The following is a 17,408-nucleotide window of genomic DNA, read 5'->3' as shown; positions in this document are numbered from 1 at the left end:
ATTTTTATATCCTGCAGCCTTGCTGATTTCATTAGCTCTGATAGTTTTTTAGTAGATTCGCTAGGATTTTCTACATAGTAGATCATGTCATTGCGAGAAGAGATAGTTTTACTTTTTCCTTTCCAATCTGGATGTGGCTTTTTTTTTTCATTGTCTTGCTTAATTGTCCTGGCTAGAATGTTTGAAACAATGTTGAATAGAAAGAGCAGAGAGGACATCATAGTCATTATCTCTTCAAATTTAAAATTTAAAATGCTTTGACCCAGTAACCTCATTGTTGTCAAATTTATGAAAGTTCAACAAGACATATGTACAACTATACTTATAAGGGTTTAAAAACAGATGAAAAACTTAATCAAAATATATCAATGACCTAAGTATATGCATTAAACCCACAAACATCTAAGCAGAAAACATAGGAATACATCTTCATAACCTTGGATTTGGTAACTGATTCTTTGATATGATGCCAAAAGCATTAGCATCAAAAGAAAAATCGATAAAGTGAACTTTATCAAAATTAAAATCTTTTGTGCGTCAAAGTATATTTTGAACAAAGTGACAAAACAACCTACAGAATGAAATAAAATATTTGCAAATTGTGTATCTCAGAGGAGCTTAATATCTAGAATATATAAATAACTCCTAAAACTCAACAACAAAAGGACAACTCAAAAGTGGGCAAAGGATGTGTTGGGATAAATATAGACATTTCTACAAACAAGATATATACGTAGTCAATAAGTACATGACAGGACGCCCGACATCCCCTGTCACTAGGAAAAAGTGAATTGAAAACCTCAATGGGATGCTACTGTATACCTACTAGAGTGGCTACAGTAATTTTTTTTTTAAGGAAACTAACACTTGGAGAAATTGGAACTCTTGTACATTGCTGGCTGGCATGTAAAATGGTACAGCCACTGTGGAAAACAGTTTGGTATTTCCTCAAAATGTTAAACACAGAATTACCATATGAACCAGTGATTCTACTCTTCATTACACATCCTAAGGAAATAAAGGCAGGGACTTGACCAGATGCTTTTTTGGCCAATATGCTCCCCAGCACTATTCACGATGCCCAAAGGTGGAAACAATGTAAGGGTCCAACCGCAAATGAATGGATAAAACAACATGTGATATGTACATACAATGCAATTATTTTATTTGGCCATAAAAAGAATGAAGTTCTGACCCATGTAACAACAGGGATGAAGCCTGAATACATTACATCAACTGAAATAGGCCAAACATAAAAGGACAATTATTGTATGATTCCACTTATTGAAATATCTAGAATAAGTAAATTCATAGAGAGGGTAAGGGCCGGACGCAGTGGCTCAAGCCTATAATCTCAGCAGTTTGTGAGCCTGAGGCAGGTGGATTACCTGAGGTCAGGAGTTTGAGACCAGCCTGGCCAACCTGGTGAAACCCTGTCTCTACTAAAAATACAAACATTAGCTGGGCATGGTGGCACGCGCCTGTAATCCCAGCTACTCGGGAGGCTGAGGCAGGAGTATCACTTGAACCCGGGAGGTGGAGGTTGCAGTGAGCCAAGATTGCACCACTGCACTCCAGCCTGGGCCACAGAGTGAGACTCCGTCTCAAAAAAAAAAAAAAAAAAAAGTAAAAGTTACCATGAACTAGAGCAAAAGAGAAATGGGGGAGTTATTGCTTAATTGCCACAGAGTTTGTTTTGGATAATGAGAAACTTTGAAAAAGGATAGGGGTGATGGTGGCACCACAGCATGAATGTAGTTAATGCCGCTTAATTGTACAGTTGAAATGCTCAAAAAGGCAAATTTATGTTATATATATTTTACCACATAACAAAATAAAATAGTTAAGAAAAAGATTTAGTAGTGGTTACCTTCAAAAGCAATGAAAGAGTGAGATTTCTCTTTTGAGAAACCCCTCCTGCACTGTTTGAACTTTTATCACATATATGTGTACTTTTTAAAAGTCAGCAAGATCATCTGTATGTGAAATTGTGAGTTGGTTTTATCTTCTTAGATATGATTTCCCTTATTTTAAAAAAATCTATATGTTAAAAAACATCATTTTCTAGCAGTTTTCTGTTTCTAGAAGTAGAGACATCTTTTGAGCAAATTTTGCTTTGGTAAAATGACCAGAATGGGTGCCTTGAAAACATGTATAAAACAAGCGGCCGCTCATTAATCTTAGGGAAATCTAATCTTAATTATAGCTAATCGTAATTCAAGTCTTTCATTTACAGAGTTTGTTGTTTAGTTTATTAATTGTGGTGTAATTTTGAGTAGTACTATACTCTTGCAGATTTAGAGGGTATTTTTCTCCTAAATTCGAATTAAGGTTTGTGCTTCCTGGGAGATGTGTGTGTGTGTGTGTGTGTGTGCATATGCACGTGTGTCTGGTCCTCTGTACACATATGCTCCACTCTTGCCTTATGCGGGAGGAGATGTTGAACAGGAGCTGGGCAGGGCCTCTCACAGCACACCAGGGAGCATTATGCCAGTGCCTACACCTGGCGCTGGAGCACACCACCGATGCTCCAAACTGCTGGAAATGTGCCATTGTTTGCTGTGACTGCGTAAATGGGCCACAGACTAGCAAGAGACTGGATGAAGAGAAGCAAATCCCCTTCTGTCTCTGGGATTGAGAGCCTTGGCCTAGACCCAGGTCAGGGGGAACTGGTCAGGGGTGTGCCTTTTGATTGGAGGTATATTGACCTCTGTAATCTGCTCATCAGTTTTTATGTATCATGGCTTAGCCCCTCGACAACTTCTTTTTTTCTTTTATCTTTTTGTAAGGCAAGGTTTCTCTCTGTTGTCCAGGCTGGAGCGCAGTGGCATGATCACAGCTCACTGCAATCCCAAACTCCTGAGCTCAAGCAATCCTTCCACTTCAATCTCCCAAGTAGGTAGGACTCCAGCCTAGCAGTTACAGCTGCCTGATTTCTTTCTTTGTATTTTTTGTAGACACAGGGTCACACTATGTTGCCCAGACTGGTCTCAGACTCATGGCCTCAAGGGGTCCTCTTGCCTCGGCCTCCCCAAGTTTTGGGATTACAAGTGTGAGCCACTCTACCCAGCCTCAACTTCTTTTTAAGTGTTTTTCTATTTTCCCCACCATGAGGATTTTTTTTTTTTCATAATGCTGAAGCCCAGGAACTAATCTAGGAAAAAATAATTGTTCCCCTTTCCTTTCCTCACACCTTTTCTTTCTTTTCTATTTTTTTTTTTTTTTTTTTGAGACAGAGTCTTACTCTTGTTGCCCAGGCTGGAGTGTAGTGGCGCAATTTCAGCTCACTGCAACCTCTGCCTCCCGGGTTCAAGCAATTCCCCTGCCTCAGCCTCCTGAGTAGCTGGGATTATAGGCAAGCGCCGCCACACCCGGCTAATTTTTGTGTTCTTAGTAGAGACAGAATTTCATTGCATTAGCCAGGATGGTCTAGATCTCCTAACCTGGTGATCCGCCCACCTCAGCCTCCCAAAGTGCTGGGATTACAGGCGCGAGCCACTGCGACTGACCTCCTCACACCTTTTCAATCTTTCTCTCCCCATTCTCTTTATTCGAAAACATGAAAATCCACCATCAAGGATGGCAAAGACAGAATCACCCCACAGGACTGAGGTGGAGGCAAAGTAGAATGCCGCTTTGGTCTGGACTAGAGAGGAGACTGGGAATATCCCACATGAACGGACCTCATCTCTATGATGTTGACATAGTGTATAGTTCTTCTAACATAGCCTTTAATAAGCAGCACAAGTATCTTCTTGCCTTTTCTCCCTCTGGACGGTAAGCTCCTGGAGGCCAGGGACTTGTCCAGAGCTGTTTCTCCAATACCTGGCAGAGTTCATGGCGGACAAATGGGCATTCAAACATTGGCTGCATAAGTATTTCATGTTTCAAAAGAAAGTGACTTCTCTAGTTGTAATGGCCATCCAATCAGATGATGCAAGGGGAAATGATAACCGTTTTAAAGACCCAGAAATATAACACAGTTTTCAAAAAGACATTTCTTAAAGAAACAAAGTATGAGTAGGATATCATCTCAATTTTCTAGTGGTGTTAGAGTCACTTCCCTGAACAAGAAATGAGAGCAATGATGCAAATGAAATATGATTACAAACACATTGAATTCAAAATGTAGTGGTTCCTAGGATATCATGTGCAGATTCCCAATTTCAACATGTGTTGTTTAAATAAACGACAAAAGATCAGATCTTTTGTGACTAAACATTTATAGCACTGTATATTTTACATCTTATCTTCCCACAGCTCCCTCTTCATACTAGTTTGTTTTTATTGGACCACCAGCAGCAAATTCCTGCCATTTTATAACCTTATGACATTATTGTCATTGCTTTTAGCACAGGCACTGCTACATCTGTTAGTAAAAAAACTAAAAGTATTCTCTCATGAGTCACTAAAACACAATTGCCAAAACCAATTAAACTCGTGCCAAATATGACAAGTCACCAGAAGACTTTTAGCAATTTACAATGTTTTTGCTGGGAAAAGGAAATAAAGAAAAGAGAGAGGTACATTTGCATAACACTTTTTTTTTTCTTTTTTGCTAGTGAGCTTCAAAAGTTATAATCACTGAAATTTAGTAATGCTGACTACATCACTTTCTTCTGGTGTTTTTTACACTATCGTCCAGAGTTGATCATTAAAATTCTCGGTGGTTGGTCCTTCCCATCTCCACACTGCAAAATATTCCTATTCTTCCTGAGCTGGAGGTACTCACCAAAGATGAATGAACAAAGTATAGAAGAAGCAATGGCTGGATTTTAGGTTGAATAATCAAAGGATGGCCAGATATTTAACAAGCAATAAGGTAAACCAGCAGTGAAATTCTGCATATAAACCTGCCTGGGGATAGGAAATTTAGCTCAAATAAAGGCTAGGGATAGAGTTAAAAAGTGCCAACAGGAGAGGTATTTTCCTATCCTCACCTCAGCCAGTTCAAGATGAGTAACACATTGGCAGGACTTGGATACAGGACATCTCACTACATGTAAGCTTTAAGAGAAAAGAGTGTAAATTTATTACAGTGTGGAAAGTACAGGATTAACTAGACTACTCAATTGGCCTTATATCTTACCACCTAGATCTTTGCAGACTCATCCAGCAGAGAACTGAAGCAATTATTTCAACAAAACTGAGGCCCCAATATTTTTTTCCAAAATATTCTAAAAGTAGAGGAAAATATGTACTTAGTTAGACAATCAGTTGCACTATCCACATTTCAAATCCTGCATACATAAGTGTGGCTACTGGCTACCCTGCTGGACAGCACAGATACAGAACATTTCCATCACTGCAGAAATTTCTACTGAATAGTACTAATCAAAAGGATTTGGGGCCACAGTGGCTCATGCCTGTAAACCCAGCACTTTGGGAGGCTGAGGCAGGAGGATCACTTGAGCCCAGGAGAAGGAGGCTGCAGTGAACTATGATTGTGCAACTGCACTCTGGCCTGGGTGGCAGTGTGAGACCCAATCACATGAAAAAGAGGATTTGGGTCACTGAAAAGACAATAGAGAAGGAAAAATTCTTGGCTATTTCAACCTGTAAGAGGTGAGGAGAGTGAGAGAAGCCTGAAGATTTAGGAGTGTACAGAAAGGAAGGGGGAAATCAGGAGTATCAGAAGTCAAGGGAGAAAAAATTTCAAAAGACAGTAAAGAAACAAGAATGCCGCAGACATAAGTGAGACAGTCATTGAAGAGTACCATTGAACTTGGTCATAAGAAGATCATCCATGGCCTTCGAAAGACTCCAGATCACAGTGAGTTCAAAAATCAATGGGAGGGTATGAATTGGAACTGATGAGTATAGACAGTCTTCTAAGAAATTTAACTTTGTAAATAATTGCGAGAGTAACACTGCGCCTGGCACATCCTCTGTGTGTCATCTCCGAATCTGAAGTGTCCCTAACAAGGTGGCTTCTGCATCTCACGGCTTCATGTGGACCTAGAGATCTTATGAAAGTATCATGGAGCAAGATTGTCATAAATAGCCCCATAGCCCCACCTTGTTCCTTTGTGGTAACTTAAGCACTGGGAGGGTCAAACTCACTAAGTGTTCATATGTGGGTCTTATAAACTAAAAGATTTTTTTTTCATTTTTGGTAGCAACGAAACGAAAATAATTCAGCTAACTTTTTCACTTCAATGGAAAGGGGCACCTCACTGGTGGGAAGACAAAAGGTTATCATATTTTGCTTATTTTCCCCTTGTATTAAAGAAATAATTTTATTGGGTTTTTGTTGTTGTTGTTGTTGTTTTGAAACGGAGCCTCACTCTGTCGCCCAGGCTGGAGTGCAGTGGCATAATCTCGGCTCACTGCAACCTCCACCTCCCGGGTTCAAGCAATTCTCTTGCCTCAGCCTCTCAAGTAGCAGGGACTACAGGCACCCGCCACCACACCTGGCTAATTTTTGTATTTTTAGTAGAGACGGGGTTTCACCATATTGGCCAGGCTGATCTTGAACTCCTGACCTTGTGATCTGCCTGCCTCAGTCTCTCAAAGTGATGAGATTACAGGCATGAGCCACCGCGCCCGGTCCGATTTTAGTGTTTTATTTAATATTACAAAAGAAATACATTCTCATATAAAAAGACTTAGAAAACTCATATGAGCCAAAAGAAGAAGTTAAAATTACCCATTATATCTGTTTGTGTGCTTCAGCTCCAGGAGAAAGAAGCCCTGGCTTAAGCAATACAGACTACTACATAACAAGGAGTCCAGGGCCAGGTGGGTGGGTTTCAGGGCTGGTTTTTCCAGTGGTTCATTGATGTCATTAAAAATCCAGATTTATTTCATCTCTCTGATCTGCCGTCTTCAGTGTGGTTTTAACATCAACCCATTGGCTCTTACAATGGTGACAACAGTAGTTCAAGGTGTTACAACAAGACATAACCACATTGAAAGGAAAAAGAGAGACTTCCTCATCTCTTTTACAAGCAAGACATTTTCTTGTAAGAGCTTTCTAATGGACTCTTCCTCAAATTCTATTGGCCAGAACTGGGTGACACGCCCACTCCTTAACCAACACTTACAAATGGGTGGGATTCCTTTTTGAGCAATCAGAGAGAACCATGAAAGCAGTCAACTGCCCGAGACACACGAGTAAACAGGGCTTGGGGAGATATTGAGCCCAAAGTGACAAGTTACTCTAAAGGAAAGTAGGGGGGATGGACACAGGAGAGGCAATCAACATTATCCATAGCTAACAGTCTGCAGGATTAACCTTGGTTAACATCTGAATAAACATCCCTTCTTTTCCTGGGATTGTGTGTGTGCTTCTGGGCGTGTAATAGTACTGTATTTGCTCTCGTAATTTGGAGTTTTCCCCCTCAGCAATATATTGTGTCAGGCAGAATAAAGCTGTGAAGAAATTAAACAATACAAATAGAAATAAATACATTATGGAATTCTGCCATGCCATAAACAATCTTCTACAATATCATTTTAATGAGTACAGATATTCCATTTTTAAGAATATGGCATAATTTATTTACCAAAAAGGAATTAAAAATAAATATTTCCAAGTCTGAGATGAAAATTTTTATTTTAATTCTATGCACTGAAAAGATATTATAAAGTTAAGGTCTTACTTTCTTTGAAGGTAAGTAATAAGGAAGGAATCTTGTATTGACATTTATTTTAACAACTTATGTTTTAAATTAAAACATGACCATTGAAGCTGATGCTGTTGGACCATAGACCAAACTTTAAGAATCTAGGCAGGTGCGGCCAGTCATGACTATAGTCTCAGCACTTTGGGAGGCTGAGACAGGAGAATTGCTTGAGGCTAGGAGTTCAAGACCAGCCTGGAAATCATATAGTGATACCCCATCTCTACAAAAAAATTGAAAGCCGAGAATGCTGGCATGAACCTGTAGTTTCAGCTACTTGGAAGGCTGAGGTTGAAGGATTGCTTGAGGCAAGGAGTTCAAGACCATCCTGAGAAACATGGTGAGACCCCATCTCTACAAAAAAATAAAAAGTTAGCCAGGCATGGTGGTGTGCACCTGTAGTTCCAGCCACTTGGGAGGGTGAGATGGGAGGATTGCTTGAGCCCAAGAGTTCGAGGCTACGGTGAGCTATGATCATGCTACTGCATTCCAGCCTGGGTGACAGAGCAAATTCCATCTCAAAAGTAAATAGATAAATAAATAAATAGCAAGGATCTGCAGCAGTGCTGTTCAGTAGAACTTTCTGTGCTGATGGGAATGTTCTATAATCTGGACTGTCCAGTATGGTAGCACACGTGGCTACTGAACACTTGAAATGTGGCTACTGCATCTGAGGATCTGGCTGGGTTTTTTTTTCATTTTAATTAATTCAAATTTAAATAGTTACAACATGACTGACTAGTGACTACCATATTGCATAGCACAAAATCAGAGTGTTTCACAATCAAAAATATTCTCCCTCTTGCAAATCAAAATCACAATAAGATATCCACCTCACACCTGTTAGATTACCAAAAAGGCAAAAGATAAGAAGTGCTGGTGAGGATGTGGAGAAAAGGAAACCCTTATACATAAGGAATGCAAATGGGTACAGCCATTATGGCAAAAGGTATGGAATTTTCCCACAAAATTGAAAATTAGATCACATTTTAATCCAGCAATCCTACTTCTTTTATTTATCCAAAGGAAATGAGATCAGTATTTCAAAGAGGTACCTCCACTCCCATCTTCATGGCAGCATTATTCACCATAGCCAAGATATGAAATCGACTTTTGTGTCCAACAATTTGGATGAATGTATAAAGAAAATGTGATACATACACAACAGAATATTATTCAGCCTTTAAAAAGAAGGAAATCCTGGCTGGGCCGGGTGGCTCACGCCTGTAATCCCAGCACTTTGGGAGGCCGAGGTGGGCGAATCATTTAAGGTCAGGGGTTCGAGGCCAGTCTGGCCAGCATGGTGAAACCCTATCTCTACTAAAAATTCAAAAAAAAAAAAATTTGCTGGGCATGGTGGTGGGCGCCTGTAATCCCAGCTACTGGGAGGCTGAGGCAGGAGAATCGCTTGAACCCAGGAGGCGGAGGTTGCAGTGAGCAGAGATCGTGCCACTGCACTCCAGCCTGGGCAACTGAGCGAGACTGTGACAATATGGATGAATCAGAGGACACGGAGCTAAGTGAAATAAGCCAGATATAGAAAGACAAATTCTGCATGATCTCACTTACTTGTGGAATCCAGAAAAGTGGAGCTCATGGAAACAGAATAGAATGGTGGTTGCCAGGGGCTGGAGGAGGGAGAAATGGGAGATGCTCGTCAAAGGATACAAAACAAAGTTTCAGTGATGCAAGGTCAATAACTTCTGAAGGTCTAATGTACAGCAATGTGAATATAATAACAATACGGTATTGTATACTTGAAATTTGCCAAGAGGGTAGATCTTGTGTTCTCACCACAAAAAAAAGAAAAAAATGGTAACAATGTGAGGTGATAGATATATTAATTAGCTTGATTGTGATTTCCCACAATGTATGTGTATATCAAAACATCAAGTTGTGCAAGTTAAATATAAAAAATAAAGTAAAATAAAATCAGGCCAAATAAAAGATATTATTGTTAATTTAAAAATGTAGATTCTTCCTCGTTCTGAAAGGTATAGGTTTTCAAGTACTTCCAAAAGAGTAGAGGAAAAAGGAGAGAAGGGGCCAGAGAGAAATGAAGGTCTATTTGCCTGCACTGCATATGATAATATGCAGTATATCTCTAAGCAGAGATGCCGGCTGAGCTCTGCACGGACAGTGACAGGACTCAACCTCACCACCTGTGCCAAGTGGATCAAAGATGCTTCTTCCCACGAGCAGGGAGACTGTGCCAGCAGCCAGTGAAAAAAATGTTCTTTCTCATCAAATGAGGATGCTATAAAGTGCTGACCTGAATTGGGCTTTCCCCTTTGTTCTGTAAAGGGATGGAAGCCATTGAAAATGTATTTCCAGCTGAACTGTGGCTCATTACGCATTGACCTTGCATGGGGACCTTTTGTTCAACAGCAGAGGCAAAGTGGGCATGCCAGCCAGAGCGTAACTGTCCACCTATCTCTCTATGAAAAGTCTTTTTTTTCAGTCCTTTTTGGCTCTAGCTAACTCATGGCAGCAGTTGAAGCTTGGCAGAACTCTACCCACTGAATGAAGATCTGGTGCTGGAATCTCAGACAGGGCATGCTGTATTTACTCCACGCACACTGAAAGCCAAAAACTGTCTTCAGTTGGTCCCGTGATTTTTTTTTTAACCCCTTTTGGTTCTCTATTAGAATCACTTCTCCAGGAATTATATAAACAATATTCTGTTCATGAGTATTTTGTGATCTAAAGATCTAGGCCCTTGTCAGGAGGATTCCCTGGTGTCACTAACACCACAAAGATCTGAAACCTGTCTTCACTTTACATCTTTTAAGTGTGTCATAGCCAGCTCGACTCTCCCCAGGACTTCGGCCATCCTTTGCCAAGAGCAAGGGGAGGAGCCGGGATCTAAAGGCATCGAATGTCCACGGGAGGGTTGAGGAATGTCGTAGAGTTCTGATTGAGTGTCAACACCCAAGACATTCCAGAAGTGATATATCTGCAGGACTTAACATTTTTACTTGAAGCATTCTCTACAATTGAAAGACTGGTTCTACTCTAGAAGATGCCTTACGTTAAGTGAGGCACTAATTGGGTGCCAGCTCTTACTTTTAGGTGCTAGCAATGAACTAAGCCGACAAGACTTCCTGTCCTAGTCTGGGCGTGAGCCACCGCGTGAGCTCTTTGGGAGGCTGAGGAGGGCAGATCACGAGGTCAGGAGTTCAAGACCAGCCTGGCCAACATGATAAAACCCTGTCTCTACTAAAAATACAAAAATTAGCTGGGTGTGGTGGCGGGCGCCTGTAATCCCAGCTACTCTGTCTGCTGAGGAGGGAGAATCATTTGAACCCAGGAGGCAGAGTTGATAGTGAGCCCAGATCCCGCCACTGCACTACAGCCGGGCCACAGAGCAAGACTCCATCTCAAAAAAAACAAAAAACAAAAAACACCTTCCTGTCCTAACATCATCTTTCTGAAAACAGTTTCAGAATGTTGATGTTTATTTTTGCCAAAGGAAAAGAGTTAACATTTCCTATGAGAACTGAATGAGAACTGAAAAACAACGCTAACATTTATTATCATTTTTGTGTGTCGGAAGCTATAGAAAGTGATGTTACATAAATTATCTCAGCTTAGCCTGTAACAATACCATGTATTAGATACTCTATCATCTTCAGTTTACAGATGAGGCATAATAATATTGGGGAGATGATAAACCAGTGGACTCATGGCTTCAGCAGTGGGGGCAAGCCTGACGGACTGAGAGCAGAGAAGACCACTCCTCCGCACCCTAAGGAAGTAAAACATGCAACGTCAGAGCTCTGTCCTGACAAGAAAAGAAAGCCAGTCACAATGAAGGTGTGGAACTTAACCATCTTTGCTTGAGGAGAGGTTTTGGTTCTCTTCTGAGGGCTGTTAACAGGAAAGTAAACCACACTGTTTTCCACTGAAAATCATTTTGTGGCAGGGTTTAGGGCACAGAGCAGCTTCAGGATAAAGAGAGTGGAGGGGGAAGAAAGACCCTATTATTGGTGACCACAGTGTTCCTGGAGGCCAGTCTGCCTCTAGACTTCTCATGATGTAAGATAATACATCTTCCCATTGCTTCATACAGTATGAGTTGAAGTTTTGTATTGTTACTTGAAACTCCAAAATCCTAACTGCCGGCAACCCTGTCTTGGGGATGGCAAGCCACGCATCCTGGCCAGGGGCCCGATGGAAGACACTACTGAGGTTCAGAAGGGCCTGGGGCATCGGGGAGAAATGACATGAGGCCAAGTCAAGGAGGAGAACAGCCACAAACCAGGAGAACAAACCACAGGTTACCTGGAGGAACACCAGGCCCGGGAGCGGAGGAGCTTAGGGGCCAGATGACACTACCCAAAGCAGATGGCAGCAACCAGAATCCCAGGGCACCTCCCAGCCTGAGGCTTCTGCCCTCGGTCACAAGGTCACCGCCACCCCTTCCCCATTTCCACAGACCCAGGTGCCCTCTTGGGAACAGCAAGCTGAGGAAGAGGAAACATGAAAGACTGGGTTGCCCTCCCCACTCCCCTCCCTGGAAGACTGTTTAAACACGAAGTAACCTAAACTCCGAAAGCTGGCAAATTAAAGGAGTTCCCAACCACCTCCCTCCTCTTCCTGAAACTCATCCTTTCCAGCCACCCAGCAAGGTGAGGTTTGCAGGGAAGATTAGATACCTTTAGAAAATAAAGAGGCGATACCTTTTTCTGCCCCGCTGAAATAGCATATGTAAATTTAAGCTCCACAATATAAGGCCTACGGAAGTCTCAAGCGATGTCACTCTAAACCCCTTACTGGTCATCGCAGTTCTATTCCACAGGGGGTGACACATATCTGGCCTACCTGCTGCCTCTTTCCCCTATTGAGACCCATGGCGGGGATCACTGATTGATCATCACACTTTCCTCCTCTGAGCCCGCATAAGGCCTCAGAAGCCTTCTCATCACATGCTGCGTGAAACCACTACCAAGTGATCAGAGCTGAGAAATACATGGAAACTATTTGCAAACAGCAATTTGACGAATGCCAGGAATCAAGATCCTTGCCTTCATTCTTATTAGAAGGTAGTACTGGTGTAGCAGAGGCTCCAAGGCTCATTCTGCAGGATACCAACGCTCCTCCAATGCAGAGGGCAAAGCCTGTGGCACTTAGCTGTGCTTAAGGCAATCTGCATTTTCATACTGACTCCTTTTAGCTCAGCAACAGGCAAGCCTTTTATTCCCCTTTCCTCCCACCTTGTCCTGAGGCATCATAAAGCACACGGGCTCTCCTTCCAGGCTTTCAACTGGTTCCAGAACCCTAAGTAACACCACTGTTTTTAAGACACCTTGCAGCAGCCAAAGTTTAGCCTTCCTGGCGTGGGCTTTCCTTAGCTCTCGGTGTGGTTGAACATCTGACAACCATTTGGTGGAATAAGTGAAGGGATTAGAACAAGAAACACAACCTTTTGTTGACTTTTCTGCTGATCCATTGGAAATTCAGTTAGGCTCCCCAAAGCATGCCGATTCTTACTTAAATATTAAAAATGCAATTTCTGCAGAAGCCGGTTCCCACCTTGGAGGTCATAAAGGGCTGTCAACACAGGATCCCTAAAGGGAGTCCTCTCTCACTCTTGTCTTTGCCCAGCCACCTTTTAAAATTATACCAGAGTTCTTGAGAAGCCCAGATGGATGGCCTCAGCCAATGAGGTCATCTGTTTACTGCCCAAAACCGCCAGGCTGGAGGCCGCATGAGGCTGCTGTGTCACAGCATGGGAAGCCACCTTGCCCAAAGATGCCTTTGCAGGAACACCTCACTCCAAGGGAGTCAGATTCTACCCTCTCTATTGAAATCTGCAGTCCTTCTACAACCCACATGGTCAGGTTCTTGAGCATATTAATCTGAAAATCTTTAGACATCTCCTGGCCCTTCCATAACTCTGAAAGCTACACACAAACCTAGACAAGCTCTGGGAGAATTTCCCAGCCAAATGGGCATGTCCCCAAGGTAGAAGCCTCCTGAGATAGTCAAGGGGGTGGCTTTGGGGTCAGATGGCCAAGTTTGAATCTTATAGCTCCGTCACTTCTAGCTGTGTGTGACCTTGGACGGGTTTCTCCATCTTTTTGAGCCTCAGTGTCTATATCTCTAAGGAGCAGCATAGTAAAACTGGCTACTTGGATTTTTAGGATAACTGAGCAAAGCCAGGGGAATGAGTCTCTGTTCATGATTCTTGCATCCCTGTTCTCTCACCCTCCGCTCATACACACAGGTCAGGACATCTTCCAAAAAGAAAACCCGGTATCATTTTGTTGTCGTTCCTTTCTGAAGGGGAACAGGGTTGCTGTGAGGAGGAAGAGGATCTGTTTGCAGGAAACCCGGAGACACAGTCTCAACCTCGTGGGACTGCTGGGCACGCCGCTAATATATGAAGCCCCGCTTAAGTCCGGAGCTCCCGAGAGTGGCGATGCTGGAGCTGTTGAAGGACCCCGCTGGAGGAGGGGGCCTCCCCGTCCCCGCTCGGCCACGTGGACCCTGGGGCGGCAGGGCTCGTCGTGGCCAGGGAAGCCTGAACCCGGGGGTGCTATCGAGTTATGCTGCTGCATAATGAGGTTTTCACACAGGCCTCCTAACCGGCGGGAGCCAGCTGAACCGGTGCCCTCCGGCCGCGGGAGAGGCGGGGGTGGCATGACCGCCTCCCAACCCCTCCACCCACGACCCCGCGTGGGCAGCGCAGCTGCGCTTCCCCCAGGCCAGTGCGGTGACAGTGCCCCCCGCTGGGTGCCCCCAGCTTCCAGGACCCTCGTGGCCCCCAATAAGGAAGGGCGGGAAAGGGTGGGGACGACTGCAAAGCGAGCTTTAAATGCGTGTGTATAATCCTAGTTGACCCCTAAGAAGATGTTCAGTCAGTGCTGCTGTCCTCTTCTTTAAACCTTGGGAGGGCAGAGACTTAGTTTAGTGGCAAGCAGGGCAGGTGGGTGGCAGCTGCTGGGACCCAAGTCCAGGGGCATGGAGCACATGGTCCTGGGCGCAGATACTGGACGCCAAGAGCTGGCTGGGAAGGAAGAGGGGATGTGGGCCCGCCCTTCATTTTCCAGACGATGAAACAAGGCACGATTGCTGTATTCGCGGGGGAGTGGGCCTGGGAGCCCACTGTCCTGCCTCTCTCCCGTCCCCTTCCCACCAGCCTTTCCCAAACTGTGCTCCACGGAACACACGCTACTGGGGAGCCAGGGTGAGAGGAGTTCTGTAAATATGGACTCTGATCAAGAGGCTGAAACTGGGAAGGAAAGGCCGCCTCCCACAGGCTGCGTGCCATCCCCAACCACCGGTGGCTCAATTCCTGGGACCTGCGCTGTGGGTAACAGGAAGCCCAGAGGCGGAGGCGTGAGCTCAGCTCTGGGCTCTGCAGTGTCAGGGCCACTCGGACAGCCTCCCGTCTCTGTTCTCAGCGCCCCCACCTCCCCGTCACAGGTGGGTGGCCACCGCTCCAACCGCTCCAGGTGTCCTGTTCCCTCACCCTATCTCACGCAAAGGCAGCAGACTCTGGGGCAGCTCTCCCTGCGTTTCTCTCTGTATTTCCCCAAACTCCCAAAGCCCCCCTCCCCTTAAGTCTCACTGACCAGAAGGGCTGAGTCACATGCTCACCCTGTACTGATGACTGGCAAAGGGGACTACAGGGCCTATGATTACCACAGAAATAGGATGATTCACCCACTGGGGCTGGGCCCGGTCTTTCTTTCTTTTTATTTTATTTTATTTTATTTTATTTTTTTAATTGAGATCGAGTCTTGCTCTAGAGTCACCCAGAGTGCAGTGGCACGATCTCGGCTCACTGCAACCTCCACCTCAAGTGATTCTCCTGCCTCAGCCTCCCCAGAAGCTGGGATTATAGGTGCCTGCCACCACTCCCAGCTAATTTTTGTATTTTTAGTAGAGACGGGGTTGCACCATGTTGGCCAGGCTGGTCTCAAACTCCTGACCTCAGGTGATCCACCCGTCTTGGCCTCCCAAAGTGCTGGGATTACAGGCGTGAGCCACTGCAGCTGGCCCTGTGTTTCTTGAACAAAATCATAGTTCTGATCGCAAAAAAAGGAGAAACAGTTATTCAGAAGATACCAATGGGGTCCGCCATGACATAGTTTTTCACTTTGGGACTTCTGAGTGCCTTTCCATGTGTATGTGCACTGTCCATCTCAAGAGGTGAAGTTCACATGCAGCTTCCTAAACTCAGTTGACCACAGAACCCCTCTGTCACCAAGCATCTTCTGAGACTTGTGTTCTATGAACACACTTTGGGAAACACTGCCCAATGCGTCCTCTCAGGGTTTCCCTTCTTAATTTGTGTGACATCACTTTTAGGCTAGACAGAAACCTTCTCTTCAGCCTTGAGTAAACACCATTTCCATAAATGTCTGTCTCCTTGTTTTTTTTAAGTCACTCCCTGTCCAAGTCAAACCTGGATTCTGAATGACAATTTTTCTGTTTCAGCCAAAAGCCTTGCATTTAGACATTCATCCTCAAATATTTTCAGTCCCTACAAAACTCTTCAAAGGTTTAAAACACACACACACACACACACACACAGTGAAGTCCTGAACCTAAATTCCAGCAGCTGTTCTAAAATGTTTTAACAACTCCATCCACCCATGAATACCATGTTCACCCTTACAGGAGGTTCTGTGTGTTTCTGTGTTTTCTCTCTAACTAATTACATGTTTAAGGTTCCTTTCTTCCAGGAGCCTGAACGTGGTGTACACTCAAAAATAGCTGCTACAAGTTCTGTAGCTCAGGATTAAAGGAAAACTTACGTTTGCAGTGAATTTGCAAAATGTTCTCATTCTCTGCGTGATAATTCTGAACTACTGTAGCTCCCACTTCCAGAGCTGTGTCCAGGAGCTGTGCAAAGCATCTCGCCTGCATTATATCCATTCTTTTTTTTTTTTTTTTTTTTTTTATTGACACAGAGTCTCACTATGTCGCCAGGCTGGAGTGCAGTGGTGCACAATCTTGGATCACTGCAACTGCTGCCTCCCGGGTTCAAGCGATTCTCCTGCCTCAGCCTCCTGAGTAGCTGGGATTACAGGTGTGCGCCAGCACACCCAGCTAATTTTTGTATTTTTAGAAGAGACGGGGTTTCACCATGTTGGCCAGGATGTTCTCAATCTCTTGACCTCGTGATCTGCCTGCCTCAGCCTCCCAAAGTGCTGGGATTACAGGTGTGAGCCACTGCACCCGGCCCATTATATCCATTCTTACACGAAGCTGCAAGACAGGCATTCCTATCATCTATCATCCCCAATTTTACAAATGAGAACAGAGTTTGGGGAGGCAAACCCAGGCCAATCTGATTCTGAAGCCTACGTTCCCAACACTAGCTCATTGTAAGATTATCTGCCAGTTTCTGGGGGAAATTTGGGGTGAAACCTTTCTTCTTAGGAAGTGAACCTGGGTGCAACACCTCCCTTTATGAAGTTATAACCACGTAACTAGTAAAATTCGCTCATTGGTTGTATAGAATTTCTACTTCTACTTTTTAAAGTCTAGACTTGACGCAAATTGCAAAAAGTGTAACCAACCTCTCCCTGGGAAGATTTGGTGTTTTGTGTGTGAGTGTGTGTGTGTGTGTGTGTGTGTGTGTGTGTGCATGTATTGGGGGGAAGAAGAGGAAGGGCAAGAATCACATCGTTCCCCTGATAAGTCAAATTAACTTAAAATGTACATTAGGAGCAATCTTGTCTGATGATTTCAAAGCAGGAGAGCACTACTCCTACTTATTAAAAAAAATAAAAATATTTAAATCCAATGTGTTTTGAACATTTCCTA

This window comes from Homo sapiens, chromosome 9 (genome assembly GCF_000001405.40).
Source record: "Homo sapiens chromosome 9, GRCh38.p14 Primary Assembly".
NCBI classification, from domain to species: Eukaryota; Metazoa; Chordata; class Mammalia; order Primates; family Hominidae; genus Homo; species Homo sapiens.
Note: the sequence above shows the minus strand (reverse complement) of the source record.